This window comes from Homo sapiens, chromosome 3, assembly GCF_000001405.40.
Source record: "Homo sapiens chromosome 3, GRCh38.p14 Primary Assembly".
Taxonomy (NCBI): Eukaryota; Metazoa; Chordata; class Mammalia; order Primates; family Hominidae; genus Homo; species Homo sapiens.
The window spans coordinates 57,552,542-57,567,282 of NC_000003.12; the positions used below are offsets into that span (position 1 = coordinate 57,552,542).

Genomic DNA, 14,741 nt, shown 5'->3' on the forward strand with positions numbered 1-14,741 from the left:
CATTTATGTTATTTATTTATTTATTTATTTTCATTAAGCCCCTTCCATTCTAGAAAGTTATTTATTTTGAAAAAACAAAGCCACCAGGTATAGTGTCTCATCTCATACTGCTAATCTCAGCCCTTTGGGAGGCTGAGGCAGGTGGATCGCTTGAGCCCAGGAGTTTGAGACCAGCTTGGGCAACATAGTGGGATCCCCCATCTCTACAACAAATAAAAAACAATTAGTTGGGTGTAGTTGCGTGTACCTAAAGTAGGAGACCAAGGAGTTCAAGGCTCCAGTGAACTATTATGTTGCCACTGCACTCCAGCCTGGGTGACAGAATGAGACCCTGTCTTAAAAAAATAAAAAGTGGCTGGGCGTGGTGGCTCATGCCTATAATCCCAGCACTTTGGGAGGCCAAGGTGGGTGGATCACCTGAGGTCGGGAGTTTGAGGCCAGCCTGACCAACATGGAGAAACCCTGTCTCTACTAAAAATACAACATTAGCTGGGTGTAGTGATGCATACCTGTAATCCCCGCTACTCAGGAGGCTGAGGCAGGAGAATCGCTTGAACCCAGGAGGTGGAGGTTTTCACTGAGCCAAGATCATGCCATTGCACTCCAGCCTGGGCAAAAGGAGTGAAACTCCATCTCAAAAAATAAATAAATAAAGAGCAAAGAAAACACAAAACTAACCTAACCCTGCATCAGCCAGTCTCATCTTAACCAAGGCCTTTCAGATATTGGACAGAGGCACTTTTCCCAATATCCCTTTGTCCTTCTCCAACCCCAGTCACCCTGTTCCTGAGTATCCATGTGGCATCCAGGACAGCTATGAAGGGCAGAGCCCATCTGTGTCCTGGATTTACATACCAGGTATAGAGCCCAGTACAGAGGATAAAGCTGTGAAGATGATGGTGGAGGTTCCAACCCCTCCCAACATGATAAGGATGCAGAGTTGCGCCAGGGAGGACAGGGCCATACTGCACTCAGCTTTACATGCAGCTGGTAGTCCAGGTGATACAGACACACACGTTTCCAGGCTTCACCATGGCCACCTGTCTAGATCTCAGAATCCAGAGGCCCAAAGCCAAAGACAAAAGCTCATATCAAAATGTGTGCAAGGTTTCAGGGGAGCCCCGCAGCCTGACCTCATAGTTTTAACTTATACACAAATCAAGCAAGTATTAAAAATATCACGGAAGCAACAGTTTTATGACTTTAAAACATCTAGCAAAGAAAGCATAAATCTGTCTGACCAATTGATGTAGGCAAAATGTCTAAATTAAATTCTGAAGATATTTCTTTTTTTTTTTTTTCCGAGACAGAGTCTTGCTGTCTCCCAAGCTGGAGGGCAGTGGCGCGATCTCGGCTCACTGCAACCTCTGCCTCCCAGGTTCAAAAGATTGTCCTGCCTCGGCCTCCTGAGTAGCTGGGATTACAGGCGAACACCACTGCGCCCGGCTAATTTTTGTATTTTTAGTAGAGACAGGGTTTCACCATGTTTAGTAGAGATAATGAAACCCCGTCTAATTTTTGTATTTTTAGTAGAGACGGCGTTTTAACATATTTAGTAGAGACAGTGAAATTCCATCTCTACTAAAAATACAAAAATTAGCCAGACATGGCAGTGCACACCTGTAATCTCAGCTACTTGGGAGGCTGAGGCATGAGAATCGCTTGAACCCGGGAGGTGGAGGCTGCAGTGAGCCGAGATCACACCACTGCACTCCAGCCTGGGTGACAGAGTGAGGCTCCATCTCAAAAATAAAAAAATAAAAAAATAATTACATGGAGGCCAATGACAATTACAGTATCAAACACCTTTTTTCTTGCAATTAAAACCAAATGTTTTTAGCTTTTCCCCTTTCAAGAAAATGAAAATTAAAGCTTTTCCATAATTGCAAGCAAAACAACTCTAATGGCCCTCTTAGAAGAAATCCAGAACTTCATACTATGGCTTAGAATGCACTACACAATTTGGTGGATGCATATCTTTCTTATCTGCTACTCTCCCCTGGTCTCACCTTACTCATCACACTGGACCTCTTTCTGGTCTACAGGTAAAGCAATTCATTCGTTCTTCAAGACCTTTTTTTGTTTTGTTTTGAGACGGAGTTTCACTCTTGTTGCCCAGGCTGGAGTGCAATGGCATGATCTCAACTCACTATGACCTCCATCTCCCAGGTTCAAGCGATTCTCCTGCCTCAGCCTCCCTAGTAGCTGGGATTACAGGTGTGCGCCACCATGCCCAGCTAATTTTTTGTATTTTTAGTAGAGACGGGGTTTCACTATGTTGGCCAGGCTGGTCTCGAACTCCTGACCTTAGGCGATCCACCCGCCTCAGCCTCCCAAAGTGCTGGGATTACAGACGTGAGCCACTGGGCCCGGCGTCTTTAAGACCTTTAAAAGAAATAGCAATAAAGTGCACGATTCCTTAGGCCAGGGGAGGTGGTTTTCACTTGTTATCCCAGAATTTTGGGAGGGTAAGGCGGGGGGCTTGCTTGAGGCCAGGAGTTCGCGACCAGCCCAGGAAACATGGTGAAGCCCTTCTCTACTAAAATACAAAAATTAGCTGGGCGTGGTGGTGTGTGCCTGTAGTCCCAGCTACTTGGGAGGCTGAGGCACGAGAATCGCTTGAACTCTGGAAGCCGAAGTTGCAGTAAGCCAAGATCGCACAGCTGCACTCCAGCTTGGGTGAAAGAGCAAGGCCCTACCTAAAAAATAAAAAAATAAAATAAACAGATAAACAACTATTTCTTAATATATGCCCCATTATTATTCCTTATCTGAAATTGAATTTAACTGAGATCCTGTAATTTTATTTGTTAAATGTAGTAACTAAATAGAGTCTTCCTATTTACTAACTAAAAATAAACACTGGGTGGCTCTTGCCTGTTTGTACTTGAGAGGGTTAGGCGGGAGGATCGCACGAGCCCTGGAGTTCGAGGGGGCAGTGAGCTATGATCAGGCCACTGCACTCCAGCTTGGGCGTCAAAGTGACAACCTGTCTCTAATAAAAAATAACAAACAGCCTTCCGCAGTTTGTCAGTACTATTTCTTTCTGCCAATTAATAGTTGTGTGACCCTGAGCAGGTAATATCTCGGGACTCTGCATCTGTAAAGCGATGGATAAAGAGACCTACCTCATAAGAACTATGAGGCTTAAATAAGATAGTGTGTGTAGCGTTTCTCGCATAGTCTGCGCTCACTAAACGGAGTTATTGTATATCGTTCGTTGTTAACTACCACAAAGGCTCTGCTCAGAGGTGCGTAGGCGCTGGCTCAGCCTGGGGTGAACCCACCAGGCCACCGAAACGAGCGATCAGGGTCGGCAAAGCTGTGGAGATGAAATGGGCAACACCTTCCACACTGCGAGTAAAGCTCGCAATCCGGGTGGAGGCCTCCACGTCCTAGCGCAGTCCAGTCCCGGGCGCAGGGAGGAGAGCTGGTCAGCCAAGATTCCAAGACAGGTGTCCACCTCCTCCAACGAAGCGGAACACGTGACACCACCCTATCCACTTCCGGCTTGGAGGGCATGCCCTCCCGTCACCAGCATGCACTTTCGACAAAACCGTGGAATCTAGTATTTTCCTCTGACACCTTTATATTTTCTTCACTTCCCTATAATTCTGACCTATCGTGTAGGTAAAAATTAATCTTCAGAGTATTACAGACATGCGTGCCCACGCGCTAGGCGAAAGTGCGAGTCGGAAGCACTTCATTCCCTCTCTTCGCTAGCCGGAAGTCGCGAGATCTGAATGAGTCAAAGCCGGCGGCCTCGGCTCCTCAGCTCCACCTGACAGTAGGCCGCTGATCGGCCGCGGGTCTTGTCGACCGCTAGGCCACCAGGTTCATGTGGAGGCTCCCAGGCGCCCGCGCCGCGCTTCGGGTGATCCGGACGGCGGTGGAGAAGCTGAGCCGGGCTGAAGCGGGGAGCCAGACAGCGGCGGGAGCGATGGAGCGCGCTGTAGTGCGCTGCGTACCTTCGGAACCCAAGCTGAGCCTGTCATTCGCTTTGGCTGATGGTAGCCACAAGAACATGCAGCGCGACCAGAGCGAGCCGCTGGGTCGAGTCCTCAGCCGCATCGCTACCAATGCCCTAAAGGGTCACGCTAAGGCGGCCGCCGCCAAGAAGAGCAGGAAGAGCCGGCCGAATGCTAGCGGCGGTGCGGCCTGTTCAGGGCCGGGGCCTGAGCCGGCTGTGTTCTGCGAGCCCGTGGTGAAGCTGTACTACCGGGAAGAGGCAGTGGCTGAGGACGTGCTCAACGTGGATGCCTGGCAAGACGGCGCGGTGCTGCAGATCGGCGATGTTAAGTACAAGGTGGAGCGCAACCCGCCCGCCTTCACCGAACTGCAGTTGCCGCGCTACATCATGGCCGGGTTCCCTGTGTGCCCCAAACTCAGCCTCGAATTTGGGGATCCCGCCAGCTCCCTTTTCCGCTGGTATAAGGAAGCCAAGCCCGGAGCGGCGGAGCCCGAGGTCGGTGTCCCCTCGTCATTGTCTCCCTCCTCACCTTCTTCTTCTTGGACTGAGACTGATGTGGAGGAGCGTGTCTACACCCCGTCCAATGCCGACATCGGGCTAAGGCTCAAGCTTCACTGCACCCCAGGCGATGGGCAGCGCTTTGGGCACAGCCGGGAGTTGGAAAGTGTGTGTGTGGTAGAGGCTGGGCCTGGCACCTGCACTTTTGACCACCGGCATCTCTACACGAAGAAGGTGACTGAGGACGCTCTCATCCGCACTGTCTCTTACAACATCCTGGCAGACACGTACGCGCAGACTGAGTTCTCGCGAACGGTTCTGTACCCATACTGTGCCCCCTACGCCCTGGAGCTCGACTACCGCCAGAACCTTATCCAGAAGGAACTCACCGGCTACAACGCCGATGTCATCTGTTTGCAGGAGGTTGACCGCGCAGTGTTTTCTGACAGCTTGGTACCCGCCCTAGAGGCCTTCGGGCTCGAGGGGGTGTTTCGAATCAAGCAGCACGAAGGCCTGGCCACTTTCTACCGAAAGTCTAAGTTCAGCCTTCTTAGCCAGCATGACATTTCATTCTACGAAGCCCTCGAGTCCGACCCACTTCACAAAGAACTGCTGGAGAAACTAGTTTTGTACCCATCAGCGCAGGAGAAGGTGCTCCAGAGATCTTCTGTTCTTCAGGTAAAGTAGTTCCGCCCGTCTCTTCACATACTGTCCCACTTTTAGGGGCCAGGAAGGCGAGGAATGAGGTGGGGGTTAAAAGTGCGATGAAAGTATCCAGATATTGTTGAAAGGTGTGTTTGCCCTTGTATCTTCAGCACAAAGTTTACTCTTCATTCATTCAGCAGATATTTTTTGAACACCTCTGGTGTGCCTGCCATACTGCAGGTTGCCTTGAACAAGACTAGCAGGGACTTTTACAGTGCTTACAATCTAGCGAGAGGGACACACGCTAAATGCAAGAACAATAGTAGCTAATGTTTTTTACTACTTGCCAAGCACTGTTCTGGCACATTTTAAAGTACTTAAAATTTAAGAGCGTGGTGTGTTTTGAAGTGCTCCATAAATATAAACTAGTTTTTTTTAAATCATAGGCTCATTGAATCTTCACAGTAAGTCCCCTATTCCCATTTTATAGATGTCATTCTTGTGTTAAAGTTTTTAAGTAATTGATTTTGTTCATAATAAGAAGAGCAGCTACCATTTTTTAAGTACCTAAGGTGTTTCATGCACCTTATAAGATCATTTAATTGACTCCACACAACAGCCCATGAGGTGGATGGTATTGTCAGTGACTGCCAGTACGAAACTGGCTAGAAAAGCATCTTTTTGCAGGTCACATTGCTATAAATGGTGAAATGAGTATTCAAACCCAGGTCTGCCTGACTCCAAAGCCTGTGCTTACGCTTGAAAACACTTTCTCCAGTCAAAGTGTTGTCATGTAAAATGTATTGTTTATATTACTAGCTTTATATATTGGACTATTATTATTATTATTATTATTTTGAGACGGAGTCTCTGTCACCTAGGCTGGAGTACGGTGGCGCGATATCGGCTCACCGCAACTTCCGCCTCCCGGGTTCAAGCGATTCTCCTGCCTCAGCCTCCCTAGTAGCTGGGACTAGAGGCGCGTGCCACCACGCCCGGCTAATTTTTTTAGTAGAGACGGGGTTTGGGGTTTCACCATGTTAGCCAGGATGGTCTCGATCTCCTGACCTCGTGATCCGCCCGCCTCAGCCTCCCAAAGTGCTGGGATTACAGGCGTGAGCCACCACGCCCGGCCTATATTGGACTATTATTAAAACATGTTACACTGAACCTAGTCATGTAGATCCTGAAACTTTAAGTTGGATTTCATGACTGCAGTCCTAGTTCATCAAGGGAAGGAGATGGAAGAAAACGTTAGTTCGCCATTAGTCTTAGATAAAAAACAGGCCGGGCCTGGTGGCTTATGCCTGTAATCCCAGCACTTTGGGAGGCCGAGGCGGGTGGATCACAAGTCAGGAAATCGAGACCATCCTGGCTAACACGATGAAACCCCGTCTCTACTACAAATACAAAAAAATTAGCCGGGCGTGGTGGCACGCGCCTGTAGTCCCAGCTACTCCGGAGGCAGAGGCAGGGGAATCGCTTGAACCCGGGAGGCGGAGCTTGCAGTGAGCCGAGATCGCGCTACTGCACTCCAGCCTGGTTGACAGAGTGAGACTGTCTCGAAAAAACTCAAAAAAACAAACAAACAAACAAAAACATTCAGGAGATTTGCAAATGCCAACTGAACTCTTGGCACTTTCCGTTTATTTTAGGTTTCAGTTCTTCAGTCTACAAAGGACTCTTCTAAAAGGATATGTGTTGCTAATACCCATCTTTACTGGCATCCTAAAGGTAGGTTTTATTTGGTATCACAAGTGACTTAAACACGCTTAAAGTTGTTTAAAGTGTTTTACACAAATGCATATCTTGAACGTCACCCAGAGACTGTAATTTGTGTAGTTTTTCTTTTTTAACTTAAAGACAACTTTAAAAAATACTTACATTAATGTTTTTTATATTCATAGGTGGGTATATTCGCCTCATTCAAATGGCAGTAGCCTTGGCTCACATAAGACATGTTTCATGTGATCTGTATCCTGGCATACCAGTTATATTTTGTGGGGACTTTAATAGTACACCATCAACAGGAATGTATCATTTTGTCATCAATGGCAGCATTCCAGAGGATCATGAAGACTGGGCTTCCAATGGGGAGGAGGAAAGATGCAATATGTCTCTTACACATTTCTTCAAGCTGAAAAGTGCTTGTGGTGAACCTGCTTACACAAATTATGTTGGTGGCTTTCATGGATGTCTAGATTACATTTTCATTGACTTAAATGCTTTAGAGGTTGAACAGGTGATTCCATTACCTAGTCATGAAGAAGTTACCACCCACCAGGCCTTACCTAGTGTTTCCCATCCCTCTGATCACATAGCACTTGTATGTGATTTAAAATGGAAATAGATGTGTGTTTAATGGAATTGAAGTCTGAAAAGGAAGTAGTTATTTTAGCAGAAAATTTAATATGAATCAAAGCTTATATGTAAACTTCAAGGAGGAATGGTAAAATGTTCAGCCCTCCTAGTTATGTTCCTGATGTCTTCGTTATGAAACTGTTGATGTTTGCATCATACATCTTCTCTTTCCTTGTTTTCCTCTACAATTGGAGGAGAAACAAATATATTTCTTACTAGCAAAATAGAAAATTGAATTATTTTTCTCCAAATTGAGACTCTCAGAAAAGGAAGATTGAATTAGCGTGTTTTTTGTTTGTTTGTTTTTGTTTTTGTTTTTGTTTTTTTGAGATGGAGTTTCACTCTTGTTGCCCAGGCTGGAGTGCAATGGCACAATCTCGGCTCACTGCAACCTCCGCCCCCTGGGTTTAAGCGATTCTCCTGCCTCAGCTTCCCGAGTAGCTGGGATTACAGGCGTGCGCCAACATGTCTGGCTAATTTTTGTATTTTTAGTAGAAATGGGGTTTCGCCACGTTGGCCAGGCTGGTCTTGAACTCCTGACCTCAGGTGATCCACCCACCTCGGCCTCCCAAAGTGTTGGGATTACAGGCGTGAGCCACCGCACCCGGCCCTTGTGTACATTTTTATAAGAGAATTTTTTTAGCTAGGAGTTCAGAATTTTTAAAGTACCATTTGAATGATCTTAATTTTTCTTTCATGACAACACATTCCAAAATGAATCATGCTTATGTACTAAGAGGGAAAATGTATTTAAGTTAAGGGTGAGAGACTTAAGTTATAGGTGACCTTAGAGACCTAAGGTGAGAGACTTGACACATGGAAGGAGTAACATTAGGGTCTACCTCTACCTCAATTTAGTTAGCGATTTACTACAATTTCAGAGCTTTAACAAAAGATAAAAATAAATCGTCACCAATTGTTATTGCTTCTCATCTTTCATTTTTCAATGAACAAGTAAGGTATTTTCATTCTTATTTTTAGGATTTTAGTTTTTAGTGTATGGTACAAATGAACACAGTTTATATTCTAATTCTTACTGCAGCTCATTTTAATTTTTAGGATGCAAGCACAATTTAGTATTCAAAGTGAGTAGCAACATATTCAACTTGATCCCATTGTCTTCAGTTACTCTTGCCCATGAAAAATGTTCATAAATGAACAGGGTATTTGACCATATGATATTAGAAAATACAGCACATTACTTTATGAGAAACTACCTACTGATATGGGCTTGAAATTTTGGATGAATCATTGAGCATTTCTACACTAGAAGTAATTTCAAAATTGTTGGTTTTTATAAACAGGAAAAAGGTTGAGTAGTGGGACTTTTAAGCATCTCTGAAATAAAAAACTTCTTTTTACAGACAAGCATTATAGTTTGAGTTACAGACAACAGTGTGTATATATGTAATATATATATAGTAAAATGAAATTTAAATATGAAGCCAAACTTTTTAAAATTAGAAACTACAAATGGTTATACTGATTAGTGTCTAGCCTAGAGTGGTAACCATGCTTTACTAATTCAGTTATGAAATACATTATTTATAATGCATTAGCTGTATTAGCTGTTGCTTTTTTGATGTTCAGGATAACTATGTTATCTCATTTCTGCATTTAATTAATAGCTCGAGTATTAAAAGCCCACTCCCTTCAAGAAAAGCTTTGATTTTCCCCAGTCATGAAAGCCCTTGTTTCAAATTCTTTAATCTCTGAACCTAGTATCATAAGAATTTCCTCTTTTGATAACATCTGTACTTTCATATTCTGCTCACTATCAAATGTATTGTTAACACTTAGTAAGTTTGAAAATGAAGGGGTTTTATCTGCATTTGACATTGAACCTTGAAGTACTTTAAGTACTCCAAGGGGAAAATTAAAGTGGAAGTTTCTTCGGATCTTGTTTAGAAAAAACTATAAATAAAAAATTGATGCTACCAAATTGTGCCTTCCTAAATAACATTTTTGAGAGCATTTTAACAGCAGTTTACAAATATGTAAATAATAGATTAAAACCAAATCTTGATTCTCTTGTGAATTTTTTTTTCATTTTAAAAATATGTTTTTGGGCTGTTTTCAAAGAAAGATGTTGATAGAACCCTTAGAGTGACTTGGGAGAAAACAAAGTGTCACATCAAAAAGTTGAGAAACATTTTGAAAGAAAAAATTCGAACATGCCCATGAAAAAAGCATACAGCTTCCACATTAACACTGGCTAGATTAAACTCTAGTCAGAAAAACTCAGCACTTAACAGACATTCCATGTCCTATATCCTTAATTTTGATGTTTTCTGACTAAACAATATACTCAGATTGTATACAGGCATTTCACATTATTAGGACATGGAATGTTATTGTGAAGTGCCATATACTGTGATCAAATCTCCAGTATACGGATACGTTAAAATGATTGGAGTCCAAAGGTAGGGAACACTAAGAAAATGTATAAATAGCATACACATTTCTTTGTACTCATGAGTTAGAATGCAGTGTTATTCAGAAATGTCTGTTTAAAGCACCTATGTGATTGCATTTTTCTATTACATTTGGATTTTTTAGTACATTTAATTTTAAGAAAACATGGGAAATCTAGCGACTTTCTATGGTAAACCACATTTTATAATGTCACAAGTTCTTGCTATAGGAATTAACATTCTAGAATTTTATATTGATTATAAAAGAGTATTTCAGAACATATTATTCTGTTAAAATGAACTCTTGCACAGTTGCCGCTACAGCAAATGTGTCTGCCAATAATCAAAATTCATGAGCAAACAATCGTTTCTGGCTGTAATGTATGTTCTTTTTGAAATTCTGTATGCTAAAATCAGTTGTTTCAAAATTTCAAGAATTCCACTGAGTAGTGATTTTTCTGAGTACTAAGCTATGATCTCATCAGAATGTGCTGGTTTCAGTCTGGAGATAGATTTCTGAGGAGCCTAATACAAGGGAGAGAATGTCCAAAGAACACTACTGTGGAAAGTTCTTACGATGGAAATTGACATCTTTTGTATCTCATTCTCCAGCCGTGAAATAAAGGCAGAGGTTCCCTGCAAACTAGTTTGGTTGGGATAAATCCAATATTTATATATAATGAAAAATAAAAGTTTGCATTATTAGTTTATCACAAGACCCATGTGACAACTCAGAAAATATTCTCAGCATAATTTTTTTAAGAGATAGAGTCTCACTGTTACCCAGGCTGGAGTGCAGTGGTGCAGTCATAACTTACTACAGCCTCAAACTGCGGGGCTCAAATGATCCTCCTGCCTCAGCGTCCCAAGTAGTTGAGATTACAAGCCCAACCTTCCATAACTGAAAACTAACTTTCTTTTTTTCTTTTTTTATTATTATACTTTAAGTTCTAGTGTACATGTGCCCAACGTGCAGATTTGTTACATAGGTATACATGTGCCATGTTGGTTTGCTGCACCCGTTAACTCGTCATTTACATTAGGTATTTCTCCTAATGCTATCCCTCCCCCAGCCCTGAAAATGAATTTTTTAAACACAAATAAAAAATATTTCAGTGTTTTGAGAATTTTAATAATTTGCTTAATATAGTACAGGAAGGCAACACTATCTAGAGGGCCAGGCATAGTGGCTCTTGACTGTAATCACAACATTTTGGGAGGCTGAGGCAGGAGGATCACTTGAGCTGAGGAGTTCAAGACCAGCCTTGGCAACATTGTGAGACCCTATCTCTGCAAAAAATAAAATTAACCAGGCATGGTGGTGCATGCCTGTAGTCCCAGCTGCTCAGGAGGCTGAGGCCAGAGGATCACTTGAGCCCATGAGGTCAAGCCTGCAGTGAGTTGTGATCAAGGTGCGCTGCACTCCAGCCTGGGTAATAGAGCAAGACCCTGTCTTCAAAAAACCACTCTAGATTTCATGTTGTAGGGGGTAGGGAGGACAATTTTTAACAGCTTTAACTGACATGGGTAATATATAAGTTCTGTGTTCTCACTTTATATGAAAGTACTTTTTTAAATGTTAAAAATACTAGAGCTGTATTAACTTCGTGATTTTATTTTTCTTCTTAGCACTAACTTCAAAATAACCATACAGTACTGCTTGTAATTTTTGTATTTTTAGTAGAGACAGGGTTTCACCATATTGGCCAGGCTGGTCTTGAACTCCTGAACTCAAGTGATCTGCCTGCCTCAGCCTCTGAAAGTGCTGGGATTACAGGCATGAGCCACGGTACCCGGCCTAAATTTTAATTTTATATATAAATGGCAAAATAATCTTAAATATAGTAAATCTGTTCACCTATCTGCTATGCTAGCAAATTCTGGGTTGTCAAAAATCCATGTTCATACTGTCAGTGTTAGATTTTTACTCATAATTTAAAATTTCCCCGCAAAATTTCACAGAAAACTGAATTATTCATCTCTATCTTCTGTCCAATTTATGTAATGAATGTATGTCAAAGCATTTATATAACACAGTCCATTTTGCCCAGTAATTCACTTTAATGATGTTATCATGAAGTATTGATGTACTTTTTTTTTAGTGTATTGAAGTATTCCTAGGTTGCATTTGTGCTAGTTTCATACCATTTGTGTTCCTTATATATTGAAGATGGTTCAGTAGGGGAAATGGATAGGCTTTATTTAGTTGGCTTTCTTATACTGGATAATATAAACACTTTTTTTTTCTTTTTTGAGACAGGGTCTGGCTTTGTCACCCAGGCTTGGAGGGCACTGGTGCCATCACGGCTTACTGCAACCTCCACCTCCTGGGCTTATGCAATCCTCCCACCACAGCCTCCCCAAATAGCTGGGACTACAGGTGCGCACCGCCACACCTGGCTAATTTTTGTATATTTTATAGGCAAAAAAAAAAAAAAAAATGGTTTCACCATGTTGCCCAGGCTGGTCTTGAAATTCTCAGTTCAAGCAGTCCACCCACCTCGGCCTCCCAAAGTGCTGATATTACAGACATGAGCCACCCCACCCAGTCAGCACACATTTTTTTTTTTTTTAAATAAGACAGGGTGTTGCTGTTGCCCAGGCTGGAGCGCAGTGGCATGATCATAGCTCACTGCAGCATCAAACTCCAGGGCTTAAGCGATCCTCCCACCTCAGCCTCCTGAGTAGCTGGGACTATAGGTGCATGCCACCATGCCTGGCTAATTTTTTAAATTGTTTGTAGAGATGGGGGTCTCTCTATGTTGCCCAGACTGGTCTTAAACTCCTGGGCTCAAATGACTCTCCCGCTTCAGCCTCCCAAAGTACTGGGATTATAGGTGTGAGCCAGCACACATAGCCCTTTTTTTAAAAAAATTAAAAACAAATTTTTTCTCCAGAAAAAAACATATTTATCAACTTTTAAAAACATTTTATGGGTACATAGTAGGTGTATATATTTATGTGGGACATATTTCTTTTGATAGAGTAAATTGAGTATTCATCACATCAAGCATTCATTTGTGTTACGAACATTCCAATTGTACTCTCTCAGTTATTCTAAAATGTGATATACACACTTTTAAAAGGATTTATTGCGCTGGGCGCGGTGGCTCACGCCTGTAATCCCAGCACTCTGGGAGGCTGAGGCCGGTGGATCATGAGGTCAGATCGAGACCATCCTGGCCAACATGGTGAAACCCTGTCTCTACTAAAAATACAAAAATTAGCTGGGCATGGTGGCGCGCGCCTGTAGTCTCAGCTGCTTGGGGAGGCTGAGGCAGGAGAATCACTTGAACCCGGGAGGCAGAGGTTGCAGTGAGCCGAGATCACGCCATTGCACTCCAGCCTGGCAACAAAGCGGGACTCTGTCTCAAAAATAAAATAAAATAAAATTTTAAAAAAAGGATTTATTGCATATAATTCTTATATCCCCTGTGGAATAGTTTGGAGAAATGGTACATCCAAAGATAAAATCAGTTAGAAATAAACAGTGGCCTTCCTCAGAAAAGCTGGGCTATAGTGTTTTGGGTATCTTAAACCAAGAAAGGGTATTTCTATCCCAGCTGTAGAGTTTTTAATAATTCTATTATAAATAATGGAATCAGGCCAGCACAGTGGCTCACGTCACATAATCCCACTCTCCTTAAGAGCTTTTTTTGTCACTGCATATCAACTCAGTTGACAAGGACTGGCCCCCAAAAGAAGCTGCATACTCACTTGGCAGTCACTCCCCATTCTCCCTAGCTCCTGGCAACAACTTAACCTGTCTCTGTGGATTTGCCTATTCTGGACATTTCATATAAATTGAATCATAATTTATGTAGTCTTTTGTGACTGGCTTCTTTTACTTAGGATGTTTTTAAGGTTCTTACTGTTGTAGGATGTATCAGGAGTTTGTTTTTATGATGAATGTTCCATCTTATGGACGTACCACATTTGTCCATTCATTAGTTGACAGACATTTGAATTGCTTCCACTTCCTGGCTTCTATGAATAATGCTGCCATAAACATTTGTGATAAGTTTTTGAGTGAATATGTGTTTTTGTTTCTCTTGGGCACATACAGGGAATGGAATTGTTGGGTGCTGTGATAACCTTTTGAGGAACTGCCAGACTTACGGAAAGCAGTTGCACTATTTTGCATTCCCACCAAGCAATATGAGGGTTCCAGTTTCCCTCCATCCTCATTAACACTTTATTATCTTTTTGATTATAGGCATCCTAGTGTCAAGTGGCATCTTATTGTGGTTTTGATTTGCATTTCCATGATGGTTAACGATGTTAAGCATCTTTTCATGTGCTCGTTGGCCATCTATATATCTCTGGAGAAATGTCTTTTGAAATACTTTGCCCATTTAAAAATGTTATTTGTTGTTTAGCCACCCCTCCTTAAAAAATAAATAATATAATAATCCATCATCCCTTGCCTTTTCAGGACCATCCGGGAGGCAAATCTTTCTTAGTCTGTGCTTCATACATCCCTTTAGTTCCCAGCCTAAAAAAAAGAAACACTGTAACCAAAATCTGGTGAGTTCCCAGAAAGCAAGGATAAGCTGTCCAACACCAAGTACTTACATGCCCAATAAAATTGACAATGTGGTCGGGCACAGTGGCTCATGCCTGTAATCCTAGCACTTTGGGAGGCCAAGGCGGTTGGATCACTTGAGGTCAGGAGTTTGAAACCAGCCTGGCCAACATGGTGAACCTCCGTCTCTACTAAAAATACAAAAAAATTAGCTGGCCGTGGTGGTACACGCCTGTAGTCCCAGCTAATCCGGAGACTGAGGCAGGAGAATCGCTTGAACCCAGGAGGCAGAGGTTGCAGTGAGCTGAGATCATGCCACTGCACTCTA

The 14,741-nt window shown here is 42.7% G+C and overlaps 2 protein-coding genes across 10 annotated transcripts in view, besides 3 other annotated features; one reads left to right on the forward strand and one right to left on the reverse strand.

Moving 5' to 3' along the window:
* The window catches only part of DNAH12 (dynein axonemal heavy chain 12), a 262,335-nt gene extending 258,842 nt beyond the window's left edge, over positions 1–3,493 (reverse strand). For all 7 annotated transcript variants that reach the window (XM_047447667.1, XM_011533468.2, XM_047447668.1 and 4 more), the window contains exon 1: positions 3,129–3,493. The gene's annotated coding sequence lies outside the window, so the exon portion shown is untranslated. The remainder of the gene's footprint in view (positions 1–3,128) is intronic.
* Positions 3,227–4,006: an enhancer, noted in NCBI's record as "active region_19987". NCBI's record gives its function as "activates an Ori minimal core promoter by ATAC-STARR-seq in GM12878 lymphoblastoid cells {active_cell/tissue: GM12878}" and the evidence as "EXISTENCE:reporter gene assay evidence [ECO:0000049][PMID:35858748]".
* PDE12 (phosphodiesterase 12) overlaps positions 3,733–14,741 on the forward strand; it is a 100,222-nt gene continuing 89,213 nt past the window's right edge. The window contains exons 1-3 of one of the 3 annotated variants that reach the window (NM_177966.7): positions 3,733–5,146; positions 6,769–6,847; positions 7,021–14,307. In NM_177966.7, the coding sequence (NP_808881.3) occupies positions 3,839–5,146; positions 6,769–6,847; positions 7,021–7,463 (1,830 nt within the window). In that variant the 5' untranslated portion in view covers positions 3,733–3,838 and the 3' untranslated portion in view covers positions 7,464–14,307. Of the gene's footprint in view, positions 5,147–6,768; positions 14,308–14,741 lie in introns of those variants that run through there. The other 2 variants (NM_001322176.2, NM_001322177.2) reach the window with 2 other exon arrangements.
* Positions 4,497–4,666: an enhancer, noted in NCBI's record as "active region_19988". NCBI's record gives its function as "activates an Ori minimal core promoter by ATAC-STARR-seq in GM12878 lymphoblastoid cells {active_cell/tissue: GM12878}" and the evidence as "EXISTENCE:reporter gene assay evidence [ECO:0000049][PMID:35858748]".
* Positions 5,563–6,195: an enhancer, noted in NCBI's record as "H3K4me1 hESC enhancer chr3:57543831-57544463 (GRCh37/hg19 assembly coordinates)". NCBI's record gives its function as "activates a minimal SCP1, AML or CMV promoter by ChIP-STARR-seq in primed H9 embryonic stem cells {active_cell/tissue: H9 hESC(primed)}" and the evidence as "EXISTENCE:reporter gene assay evidence [ECO:0000049][PMID:30033119]".